At 38.5% G+C, this 13,650-nt stretch overlaps 1 protein-coding gene across 6 annotated transcripts in view; it reads left to right on the top strand.

The window, feature by feature from the left end:
- MYO1D (myosin ID) overlaps window positions 1–13,650 on the top strand; it is a 384,603-nt gene that overhangs the window by 99,848 nt on the left and 271,105 nt on the right. For all 6 annotated transcript variants that reach the window (XR_001752521.3, NM_015194.3, NM_001411088.1 and 3 more), the window contains 5 exons: window positions 1,248–1,413; window positions 4,435–4,488; window positions 6,057–6,152; window positions 9,525–9,641; window positions 12,196–12,399. Coding sequence is in view for 5 of the 6 variants with exons in the window: in NM_015194.3 (NP_056009.1) it covers window positions 1,248–1,413; window positions 4,435–4,488; window positions 6,057–6,152; window positions 9,525–9,641; window positions 12,196–12,399 (637 nt within the window). In the remaining variant the exon portion in view is untranslated. The remainder of the gene's footprint in view (window positions 1–1,247; window positions 1,414–4,434; window positions 4,489–6,056; window positions 6,153–9,524; window positions 9,642–12,195; window positions 12,400–13,650) is intronic.

Here is a 13,650-nt window from a genome sequence, read left to right as displayed (position 1 = left end):
TCATATTGGGCTGCATTGCTGGGCCAGGAGAGGCATTTTTCTTAATTGTAACATATCCCTCCTTCTTACTCTGACTTTACAATCTAGTTTGACAAGGACAGGGATATGTGTAAATTTTCTTAATTTCCTTAGGAGCTCAGGAGAGCAACTAGATGAGAAATAAATTAATTTCACACCTACAATAGTAGAGTAAGGCATATATAAATTTACTAGTCTTTCACAAACATATCTTATCACAAGCAGTTTCCCCCCACACACATATTTTTAAAATATGCTTTCATTTATGAGGCGATAAGGTTGAACTCTCCAGTATTAGCGGGAGTAACAGTAGATCTTCTACATCAAGTTATTTCAGAGGCCAAAGTTATTTCTGCAGGTATGCCTGTATAAGAAGAATTTTATCAGTGGAATGAAAACAAGGATATAGCATGAAGTTTAAAATGTATCCATTGGGAGGGACTGCTGTATAGAAAGTTAGCATTCGTCGAATAAAGAATGCATTAAATGGCTGGTACAAAGGAGAAATTCCATACAGCTTCAAAGAAAATAATGAGCAATTTCTGAACTAGTGAAGATTAAATTTATGATGTATAACTAAGTACAATAAAATGTCACAATTCCAGGTTTTATAAGCAAGTGCCTTAAAAATTGTATCATTTTCTGTATCACCTATTCTTTCCCTTTTCAGAACACATCTTTTTAAAAATTTTCTTTATGTAGATAAAATATGTACATTTATAAAATGAAAAACAAAAATTACAGAATTAAGTTGAAGATGTAAAAGTTCCCTGAAATCCTACCTTGCCCATTCCATCAGTCTCCTGTCTAGATAACCATAGTAAGGTGTGCTGATCCCTCCAGATTTTTAAGCATTTGCTGATACATGTGTATGCACACACACACACACGTGAACATACACATACACACACAAGGATCCTGCAATGCATGTTATTTGACAACTTGATTTTATATTCATTAATATATGCTGGACATTTCCATGTGAGTACATATTGATGTACCTCATTCTTTTTAGCACCTGTATAGTATTTCATTATATTGGGAAACAAAAATTTATTTTTATCCCTATTGGTGGACATTAATTTGTTTGTTTTTTTTTTGATATTGCAAACAGTGCTGGAGTTAGCATCTTTGTATAAATATTTGTATGTGGTTTAGCAAAATCCAGTTTTTAAAAAATTCTAGTCTCTATAAGTTTTTATAATGACTTTCATTTATCTGTGTTAAAGAGTGAAGAATATGTTGCTTAAGTCCAACTGTGTTTTGGAAGCTTTTGGAAATGCCAAAACCAACCGTAATGACAACTCAAGCAGGTTTGGAAAATACATGGATATCAACTTTGACTTCAAGGGTGACCCTATTGGTGGGCATATCAATAACTACTTACTAGAAAAGGTAAAATATGCTTAATTTCTGAGGGTAATGTTTTAAGTGCTGAATGTTTAAACAAATTATATTTATAGAATTTATTTTATTGACTCAAAATAGCTTTAAATCCTATTCTCCCTTCTTCATTAGCTTTTTATGATAAGGTATTCTCCTTTTGTCTTCTCTTCTTAGCACTTACACTGTCAAGTTGGAAAAAGTTGTGGACTTTGTAGATAGATTTAGCTATGCGTGTGAATGGGTGGGGGCACAGGTATGAGTGTGTGCCAGCTTCTGGGTAAGGTTTAACCGAAAGTCAATCTAAGACTAATCAGTTCTAGCCTTTTTATACATCACCATCTTCTATACATTTTAATTTTAATTAATTTGATATCTCATTTTCTTCTAGTTTCTATTTGTTCATTGCTTTATAGTAACATATATGTATTTTGTGATCTTACATCCTAATTATGAAGCGAACTGTATTTGGTCAGTAAAAACTTAAAATAGGCCCAATTTCTAGAGGATTCCAATTAGAATTTTCTTCTTGGGACCACCAGAGAGGTTGTGTCTGGTTTGGTTTTGTGTTTTTTGAGACAGAGTCTCACTCTGTCATCCAGGCTGGAGTGCAGTAGCATGAACATGGCTCACTGCAGCCTCAACCCCCCAGGCTCAAGCAATCCTCCCACCTCAGCCTCCTGAGTAGCTGGGACCACAGGCATGGCCCACCATACCCAGCAATTTTTTTTTTATTTTGTAGAGATGGGGTCTCCCTGTGTTGCCCAGGCTGGTCTCAAACTCTTAGGCTCAAGCAGCCCTCCTGCTTCAGTCTCCCAAAGTGCTGGGATTACAGGCATGAGCTGCTGCACCCAGCTGGTTGTGTCTTAACTAATCTTGATTATCAGTGGACATGACTGCAAGAGAATACATAGAGTTCATTTTTACAGTTAAGCTTGTGCTTTATAAAATCAAGTCTCCACCTTGAATTCATACAGATCTAAGCCGACAGGTTTTCTCAGTTAAGGGTTTCCTATCCCAGTTAGGCCATAGCATCCTTTATGGCCATATAATGAAGTATAATCTTTATTTTTGTTTGTTATATTGAAGTCGGACTGTTAAGGAAATAAATGTATTATCAGAGTCAGTTGAAAAAGGACAGGAAATGCCAGGTATTATTATCAGTCCTTTTTCCAGAATGTTTCATCAGTTCACTTTATGTGTAATACATATTCAATCAAAAGGATCCTTTTGAATGAACTCATATTTTGAACCCTCTCCTAACAGCAGTATTTTTGGAACCATCTAAGGCAGAGGTCTCTATGGATTGATCTTGCTCAACTGACTTTTATTACAGGATATAAGGCATTGCTCTTTGAAATGCCAGCAGACCCTGGGGAAAGGAATGTTGAGAATATTCCTCCCTAAGCATTCCTTCCTATTCTCCCCACTTCTAATTCTTACCCCACCCCCAACCACCAAATTCCATCTTTAGGCTCCAGGTTAAAAAAATCAAAATAGCTTCATTCTTCAGAAAGTTTTAGGGACCTCTGTTTTAAGCAATAAAAAGAATTATCAAAGAATTGCAGGGGAAACCCCATAGAGAAGACTCATTCTTAGATGAGTATACAATCCATGGGGGTCTTTAGGATATTTAACTGATTTGGGAGAGGTCGGATAAAGAAAAAGGAGCATTAACCTTGACTATGCCTTTAGCTCCAGCCGCCTCTTTAAGAGGAAATTGTTGGGCAGGTGGGGGAAGGCTAGTCATGGAACGAAACTGTAAGCCAGATCGGGTGTGAGGAGGGGAGGTGATAAAAGGATTATAGGGTGGGAGAGCACAGGCTGAGGAAGAATTGGGACCTGGCTCAGCCTGGCAAGGCACAGCCTGGGGAGGAGGGGAGAGGTCCTGTAGAAAAGGAGGATTCAGAGGACTCAGAGCTTGGGGTGGAGACTAAAGGAACAGACAGGAGAGAAAGAAGAAAGATATGGGACAAGTCGCATTGGGAGCAGAGACTAGGGAGGGACCGATGTGTAAAAGAATGCCTGGACGTCAGGCATCTCAGATCATTTGCCCATTGTACGACAATAATTGTCTAGACCTTGTAGGATGGAGAAATTTAAAGTGCTGTTTTCTGGCTGTTTGGAACCATTGTTGAGTTTGTATTGGGGTCAAGTGGTATTGCAGAAGAAAATAAGGTGTTTAGGTTTTAGGTCAGGTGTGAGTTGAAGAGGTTTTAAGTTCTTGAGAACACAGGCTAAGGGAGAAGAAGGAGGAATGGAGGGTGGAAGGTTGACCATAGTGGAGGAGGCAAGCCCAGAGAAAAGAGAGGGTAGAGACATGGGCCGGGGTCGGGGGGTGGGGGTAGGGAGTGGGGTGGGGTTGGTACTTGCCACCCAGGAAAGTGGTGCTTGCCACCAAGGTGAAGGATCAAGGCAAGTGTCCCCACAGTGATCAGACACCAATGGAGTGTGGGTGAATAATCAGGCAGGCGTCCCTGCAGTGATTAAACACCAAGGGAAGACTGTCTTCCCGAATCCGTGACCGGTGCTGAAGTTTTGTGTTCACAGATAAAACACGTCTCCTCTGTCTCTACCAGAAAAGGAAAGGAACTGAAATTAAGGGAAGGGGGAGATTGAAGGGTGGCGCCGAAATTGAAAGGAGAAAGAGGTTGAGGGATAGTAAGAGAGGTTGGAGAAGAGAGTAAAAAGAGGCCGCTTACCTGATTTAAAATTGGTGAGATGTTCCTTGGGCTGGTTGGTCTGAGGACTTGAGGTCGTAAGTCAGTCTTTCTCACAGAGCAAAGAGCAGGAGGACAGGGGATTGATCTCCCAAGGGAGCTCCCCCGATCCAAGTCACGGCACCAAATGTCATTAGTTAAGGCAAGAATCTGCCATTTTCACTTCTTATGTGATTCTTCAGTTGCTTCAGGCCATCTGGATGTATACGTGCAGGCTTGGGCTCAGAGGCCTGACAGTTCCCTAAGAAAGTGGCTCCTGTTTTATTTTAGGGGCACATTTTCGGGTTAACCATTTTAATGTGTTTTTTCTTAGTCTCGAGTGATTGTGCAACAGCCAGGAGAAAGAAGCTTTCATTCTTTCTATCAGGTTAGTAATCCATTATACAGATAATTGATCATTTGCCCAGTTGTGCAGGAAATGAGTATTTGTGTCTTGGGCTTTCCCCTGTCCTATGCATCACTCATCTCCATTGGCCCCGTAACATGTCACGCATGCACGCACGCACGCACGCACCACATGCCCTGCCCTACCTGCTTAAGAGATTGGATGAACATGACTGTTCCACCCAGCTGGCAGGAGCTTAGCCAACCAGATGACTGCCTTGGGTGAGCATCCCCCATATTTTCTTGCAGTACAGATAACACTTTAATGACTGTGAAAGCTTTTGAAATGGTACATTCTAAATGTTAAATTAATTTTTGTTTTATTTTGAATTGAAGCTGTTGTTTCCATATTTGGGAGTTCTAGAGATCAGAATACAAATTCAGTTTGTTTCACTCATACACACTAAAAGCAATATGATTACTTTTAAAAAAACAATCTGGATTTATAACTTCTAGGGAGGATTGCCTTTTTAATCCATCAAGTTTAGAAAAAAATTTGAGTATTTATTTTCAAGAGTGCTTTTAGATTTTAAAGCAAAATCTTTTAAATAGCCTTCCTGTTGGCAAGTCTTTACACTTAGAAAACAAGTATGATATATTATTGTAAGTTTTTAAAGCCCAAATTAATGTAAATCAAGGTTAACAGAAAGTAACTGAACGGTGACAATACAATTGGATGCAATTCAGTCGAATTCAGTTTCTTCTAGGTAACTGCTTTAATAGACACTACTCATTTGTATATATAAGTTCTGGTATATTAAGTTTAAAAATCAATTTTTAAAATCTGATAATTAGACTTTTTAAGTAAACAAAAGCATACAGTTTAATTTAGAGAATTTAAACCTAATACCTTCCAAAAACATGCTCTATATAAAAGCACTGTCAATATTGTGTTTATGGTTCTGTTGGCAATTTGCCATGTTTTAAATAAGCTATTTTTCTACCAAATATAAAAGAGTTCTGTTTATTTCAATAACCTGTAACTTTTTCCCAGTGTTCTTCCCACTTGGGTGAAAGTATTAAAATTTATCTTTATCCAATACTACAATCATGGTTCCCCAGCTGTCCTCTTTTCCTGAGAGGTACAGATTGATGAGGAAAAGCTGTTTGTTTCCAGTGTGATTCAGCATATGACTGTCTGCTGATGTTTCTTACTTCCGTAGCAATATTGACTTTTTCTAAATTCTGAGACAGAACTATATCCTGTCTATAGTGAGGCTGCTAAGCAAGCAACCACCACAGAGCATAGGATCCTGTTTTACAAATGACGGCATTCAAAGCAAGAAACTTTTATGCCAGTTATATTGTAAATGAGATGAGACATTTTCAGAGTAATTTTCTTTATGACTGCATAACATTCTCTGTAACTGATGACATTGAAGCCATTTACCTTGAATGTTTAAAAAAACAAACAAGCAAAACTTCAAAGCTAGAAACAGGAAGACATAAGTGAATTAAGCCCAGAAAATGAATAAAAGCTAGATTACCACTAAGTTCATGTTTGGTTCAATGTATGTCTGGCCAATTTATTTCTAATTAAATATTTTTCAGCTACTCCAAGGAGGTTCAGAACAAATGCTACGCTCTCTACATCTCCAGAAATCCCTTTCATCCTACAACTATATTCATGTGGGAGCTCAATTAAAGGTGAGAATTTCCTCTTTGAGATTGCTCCAATAGAAAATCAGTCAAAGGATTAGAAGAGACATTCAATAATTATCTGGTCAAGCCTGCTATCTTTAGGCAAATAAACATCTCTTTTATCCTGTTCTATTTTTTAAATTCTCAAGGACAGAGATTCAGCACATTTTTGAATCAACAACTTTGCTTAAAATCAATTATGATATTTTATCACCATCTGACAGGAAAGAAGTTTTTTCCTACATTCAATGTTTTATTTTAATTTTTAATCCTATCCCTATTCCGTTTATTTTCACACTATAAAAATATTGATAGGACTAGGAAGCCTACCTCCTAAGAAGATTCCATATGATTTGGCCAAAGGCAAGTTAGTAAGACAAAATTAAAATGCACTTTGATTCTCCACTCACTGTTTGTTCAAATGTTGATTTTGATGTACCCTAGAAATAATTTTGTGACCTTTGAGGCATTCCTATTCAGCTTTCAAGTTTTTCCATTTTTTCTCTTTTCTTGCATGCAAGCACTTGCATACACTTACATGCAGGCGTATTTTTGCTCTTTTATTTCTAGTTCATTTTATTTCTAGTTCATCTAGTAATTTTACAACTAATTATAATAATAGTTTGTTGATAATAGTTACACTATTATCCTATTTCGTAGGAGGGAAGGTATATAAATGCATATAATAAGATATGGTAGGATATAGATCACAGTATTAATTATTTATTCTAGATGGGTGAGATTATGGATATTTGTGTTCTGTTTTTCCTTATTTAAAAAAATTCTACATCAAAAACTTACTGCTTTCATATTTGGGGGAGAAATAAAAGAAACTGTAAAGGAAAAAGATCTAAGATATGGGAGCTATTTCTTTAAAAAATTCTATTAATCAAAATAAGCTAATTATACCTGCATTATTGGTTTAGCTGTATTTTTATTGCTGTGCATAGAAATTAATGATATTTTGGTTTTTGCAATTAATTTTCCATTATTTGACATTTAGGTTACAACAACTTTACTTTTATGGTCATCTGAGAGCGAGCAGGATGTTTGGCTGAAAATGAATTAAAAACAAAAAACAGTAGAGGGCAACACTCCACCTCTCTGAGAACTAGCCAGAGGCACTTAAAGAATTGTGAAATCAACACCTGGAAAGCCAGTGACTGGGAATGTTTGTTTTCAAATTGTCTTATCGACTAAGTTACTTTTGACCAAGTCGTGTAGAGTCCCCACAGAAAGCAAGTATTAAATTAATAGCCTTTTTTCTAGGTTAAATTTAGCTTAGATTCCCTTTTTATCAAAAATTTCCATGTCTGCTTTCCCCACCTTTTTTTTTTTGCTTCCTAAGAAAACAAAGAACTAATAAATGATCATAGTCAAAACCTAAACTATGAACCAAAAGGAAACAAAAATACACTAAATCTTACCATACAGAAATGATTATTGATAATGGTTTGCATCTATATTTATAAATGGAATCATACAATAAATCCTAATTAAATAAACCTGTTTTTATTATAATCTTTCCATGCAAACAAATATAAATTAATATAATAATTTTTATAACTATTAAGTATTGCACTGTGTGTATCTTAACCAGTTCTAAAATGCAGGAGTCATATACAGTTAAGATATTTTGGGTTGCAAGTAGGAGAAGACCCAATTAAAAGTCTCCAAAAACAATAAGAAACTTAATTATCTAGCATAACAAGAAACTCTGAGATAGGACAATTCCAGAATTAGTTAGTTCATTGCCTTAACAATGTTGTCAGGGACCCAGGTGTTTTTTTGGTTGTTTCCCCAACTTACAACTCTGCCACACTCATGGACAGCTCTGTCCTCTTAGGCTGGTTTTCCTTTTAGTCCCAAAATGTCATCAGAATTTCCAGGAGTCACCTGCAAAGGAGATGTTCATGGCATATGTCCTTTATAAGCTAGGGAAACCTCCCCAAGAACCCTCCTCCACTCATCCCCCATAAACACTTTCCCTCATGTTGTATTGATCAGAATGGCATCCCATGCCTGTGGCTAACCAGTCATTTAGTAAGGGAAATAAGATCACTCTGATGAGTTTAGACCAGTGAAGATTTACCTCTTGAGGCTAGGTAGATGCCAGTCACAAAGGACATGCACACTTAGAGAGGAGTAAACAAATCAGGGTTCGATTGGCAAGAAAGAAATGAGGGTAGAGGATGGCTGTTAGGTAAGCAGCCAACAGTTCCCCACAGTAGGACATTTAGATTTTATCCAGTTACTTTCCAACTTCAACATGGTTGCAGTTTATAATAATAGTAATATCTGATACTGCTGAGTGGTTTTTTTTTGTATGCTGGTGCTAGAGAGGTGCTTTATATAAATTTTCATTCAATTCTGACAACCACCCTGTAAGATATATGTTATTATGCCCATTTTATTTGTGAGGAAGTTGAGGTTCAATGAGGTTAAGTATCTTGTCCAAGGTAAAAACAAAAACCTAGGAGGAGGAGGGGCTGGCCTGGTTGTCTCCTGGACACTAGAGGAACTTGTACTCACCAGGCAGAGAGGTCCCCTTCCAGGGCCCTTCCTCAACAAGTGAGCATCAGGCCAGGTCTCTGTATCCAAACAAGAGGAGAAACTTACTGAGGAAAGAATTGGTCAAGCCTCTGCGGCTGCTGCTGTGGTAAAACTAATATAAGCAGTTACTATTGCTTTATTGCGAATTTCTGTTTACGCACTTGTATTTCCAATGTGATGGCCACAGCTCTAAAAGGGCAGGCGATTCATCTTTGAGCTGCCTGTACCAGTTAGTAGAGCTGACTTGTGAAATGCGTATCAAGTGAGTGAAAGAATGAAGTTATAGTCCCAGACTATTTAATAGCTTACTAAATGACTGAGGCTGGCTGTTTTGCTTTTGAGGGCCCGCCTTGCCTCACCTGGAAAATAAACCGCCTGATTATACGAGAGTGAAGTGTTGTTGCCAGCCTAAATAAGACAATTGTGGAACAAAGAGCCACAAACAACAGTAGCCAAGCATGTATCTTGGAGGCTCCCACATTCAGCACTTGCATTTGTGATCTCACATCCATGCTGTTGCCTTCACTGATCATGGAGTGGGGGATCAGCTTGTCTGAGCCAGCTCAGGACTTGCTCCCTCACTGAAGGTTCCAGAAAACGGCACAGTGCTTATTTTAGGTGATGGCTTTCACGCACAAGTGGGCTTTGTACGTGCTGAATAATGTTGCAACTCGTGAAATCATTTTTATTTTCTCTGGAGACTCACCATCCCCTCAAGTGATTTACTATGAAGGCAAAACCTTGGTATAACTTAGTTTTATAATTGTTGAATTTTAATGCTCATAGGAAATATCTGTAACTTCAGTTTTTCATTTTCATCCCCAGTCTTCTATCAATGATGCTGCCGAATTCAGAGTTGTTGCTGATGCCATGAAAGTCATTGGCTTCAAACCTGAGGAGATCCAAACAGTGTATAAGATTTTGGCTGCTATTCTGCACTTGGTGAGTAGGGACACCTCTCAGAATGTATTGTCTTCTGCTGAGAACAGGATGCTTTCTCAGAAGATTTTGTTTTTTCCCTGTAGATTTAAAAAGTATTCAGAGAAAATTTTGTACGTATTTTGAAGAAATTACTATGTCTGTGGTTCTTGCCATCATTTTATAATATTATGAGGGATTTTCCAAGCTACTATAGGGTTGGAGACTACTACTTCAGTTGATTGTCTTACTGGTATTGTCAAACTTTGAACTGGTTAATTTTAAGGATAAAGGAATTCAGCAGTGATGTGACTACTAGTGGTATAAATTTCTAGTGGCATTTGAAACATAGAATCATAGGTTATCGGAACTGGATTTTTAATCATCTCATTTTACAGATTGGGAAATAGCCCTGATGGGTGGCATGACTACCTCAAAGGCACAGCCAGCTCATCCCAGAGCCAACACCATAGACCACTTTTGGGCCACTTGTTTCCCACTATACCACACCAAACTTAGAAGTGAAGAACTGTGTGTTAGATTTCTTTCATTAACATTTATATAATTAGAGATACTTAAAATACACTGAACATATAATCTTACAATAAGAATGACAACATGGATTCAAATCTGGAATAAAAATTACTTTTCACTTAATATAGCAAGATTTAACTCTAAATGAATCAGAAATGTGCAGGATCTTTATGAAAAATATTATATAGCAATATAAACAATAAATGTTCCTGACTAGGAAGACTTTAGTATTATAAATTGTCTCATCTGTTTGAATCAGTTTTTAAATACAGTGCAGCAGTCCTTTTCAGAATCCAAACAAGAATTTTATTTTTTGTTGTTTTGTTTTCTTTTTGAGATGGAATCTCGCTCTGTCACCCAGGCTGGAGTGCAGTGGTGCAATCTAGGCTCACTGCAAGCTCCACCTCCCGAGTTCATACCATTCTCCTGCCTCAGCCTCCTGAGTAGCTGGGACTACAGGCGCCTGCCACCACGCCTGGCTAATTTTTTTTATTTTTAGTAGAGACGGGGTTTCACCATAGCCAGGACAGTCTCGATCTCCTGACCTCGTGATCTGCCCATCTCAGCCTCCCAAAGTTCTGGGATTACAGGCGTGAGCCACTGTGCCTGGCCTTTATTTTGTTTTTAACTTGACCTGTTGATTCTAGAATTTACCTGGAAAAAGATCAAATAAAGTATATTAAAGAAGTGTCGTATAGGGTAGGGTAAGGGAGGAGAGGGAACATGACTAGTTCTACCAAACTTAAAATGATAGTAAAAGCTAGAGTACTTTATAACTTTGCACAAGTTCAGCACCAGATCAACAGATTAATCAACTGATTGGTTAATGTGCTGGACATTTGGTAGATGGTTATAAGTATGTATTGCTTATTGAATGAGTGGAATATAAATAGACTCAAACACTTGAGGAGATTTAACATATTAAAAAGGTGACATTTCAGCTGGGCGGGGTTGCTCACACCTGTAATCCCAGCACTTTGGAAAGTTTGAGGTGGACAGATTGCTTGAACCCAGGAGTTCCAAGACCAGCCTGGGCAACATGGCAAAACCCCATCTATACAAAAAATACAAAAATTAGCCAGGCATGGTGGCACGCATCTGTAGTCCCAGCTATTTAGAGGGGCTGGGGGTGGAAGGATCGCTTAAGCCTGGGACGTTGAGGCTGCAGTGAGCCATGGTGCACCACTGCATTCCAGCCTGGGTGACAGACCCTGTCTCAAAAAAAAGGTGACATTTCAAATCAGAAAAAGCTAGACTGTTCAATAAGTCCCGTTAGAGCAACTAATCATGTGAAAAATAAAGTTAGATTCTTACTTGATACCATGTACCAAAATCAATTGTGGATGGATTAAAAAGTTTAAGGAAAAAGGCCAGGCGCGGTGGCTCACGCCTGTAATCCCAGCACTTTGGGAGGCCGAGGTGGGTGGATCATGAGGTCAGGAGGTCGAGACCATCCTAGCTAACATGGTGAAACCCTGTCTCTACTAAAAATACAAAAAATTAGCTGGGCGTGGTGTCAGGCACCTGTAGTCCCAGCTCTTCAGGAGGCTGAGGCAGGAGAATGGCGTGAACCCAGGAGGCAGAGCTTGCAGTGAGCCAAGATCGCACCACTTGCACTCCAGCCTGGGCGACAGAGCGAGACTCTGTCTCAAAAATAAATAAATAAATAAAATAAAAAGTTTAAGGAAAACAAAAACTATAAAAGCATTAGAGGAAAGCATCAAATGCTCATAAACCCTTTGGAGTAGGAATGGTCTAAGTATGACACCAAAGAAAGAGAGACCCTAAGGCAAAAGATTCATAGATTCGATTACATAAAAATGTAAAACTTTTATCTATCAAAAACATACACTGAAAGCAAAAAGATAGATGAGTGTCCGGAGAAAGGGAAAAAGTAGATGAAACACTGTTTTTATATGTTGAGATGTATAATGTATTTAGGAAAATAGGTACAAACAAGGTCACCTGAATTGTATTTTATATTGGCAAATATATCCTTGACATAATGTTTCATAATGTGTTATTTTTTTCACTTTTGATACAGGGAAATTTAAAATTTGTAGTAGATGGTGACACGCCTCTTATTGAGAATGGCAAAGTAGTATCTATCATAGCAGAATTGCTCTCTACTAAGACAGATATGGTTGAGAAAGCCCTTCTTTACCGGACTGTGGCCACAGGCCGTGACATCATTGACAAGCAGCACACAGAACAAGAGGCCAGCTACGGCAGAGACGCCTTTGCCAAGGTGAGAGTGTAACTGACCCTATGTCACCTGGTGTTGATCGCAGTTGCAAATTGAGTGAAATCCTGTGAGCATGTATTCAGACATTCTTGAAAGAGGGTTAAGGCTTTTAGAAACCATAATGATACTTTCTGGCCATACAAGCCTCGGTAAAACTCCCAGATGTAAGTAAGCATCACTGCCAAAAAAGGTTCTGAGAAGAGTGGAAGCTGACTGGGGGTGGCGCTCATGAGGGCTTCACGTGCTGCTTCTCTCACTCAATAATGCTTCGCCAGAGTCAACTGACTGAGCTCTGATCCATTTTTTTTAAGTTTTATTTATTTTTAATTGACAATAATTGTATATGTTTATGGGTACAGTGGGATATTTCAGGACATGTACACATTATGGAATGATCAGATCAGACTAATTAGCATACCTCTTACCTCACCTACTTACCATTTATTTGTGGTGAGAACATTTAAAATCCACTCTTAGCAATTTGAAACAATATTATTAGTATTATTATTAACAGTCACCACGCTTTGCAGTGGATCACCACAAATTATTCTTCCTGTCTAACTGAAACTTTACCCTTTGACTAACGTCTCACACTTTCTCCATCCACCCCGCTCCTCTAGCCTCTGGTAATCACCATTCTATTCTCTGCTTCTATGAGTTTGACTTTTTCAGATTGCATATAGGTGAGATCACACAATATTTGTCTTTTTGTGCCTGGCTTATTTCACTTAGCATAATGTCCTCCAGGGCTGTGTACTAAGCCTGCAGTGATAGTACCACAATTTATTTAACCACCTTACTCTTAAGTCACCCACTTTACTTCCCTTTTTTGCAACTGCAAACAATGCTGCACGTCTTTATACATCTATGCTTATATACTAGTGCTTTTGTTTCAGCTGGATGGATTCCCAGGAGTGAGCTTGCCAGGTCAAAGGGTATACTTATTTTATTTTTATTTTTTGAGACGGAGTCTTGCTCTGCCATCCAGGCTGGAGTGCAGTGGCACAATCTTGGCTCACTGCAACCTCCACCTCCCGGGTTCAAGTGATTCTCCTGTCTCAGCCTCCCAAGTAGCTGGGATTACAGGAGTGTGCCACCACGCCCAGCTAATTTTTGTATTTTTAGTAGAGACAAGGTTTCACCATGTTGACCAGGCTGGTCTCGGACTCCTGACCTCAAGCGATCTACCTGCCTTGGCCTCCCAAAGTGCTGGGATTACAGGCGTGAGCCACCGCACCTGCCATATATTTATTT

The sequence above is a fragment of the Homo sapiens genome, chromosome 17 (genome assembly GCF_000001405.40).
Source record: "Homo sapiens chromosome 17, GRCh38.p14 Primary Assembly".
Lineage (NCBI taxonomy): Eukaryota > Metazoa > Chordata > Mammalia > Primates > Hominidae > Homo > Homo sapiens.
The sequence above is the reverse complement of the archived record's forward strand: the minus strand, read 5'-3'. Positions and strand labels throughout refer to the sequence as shown.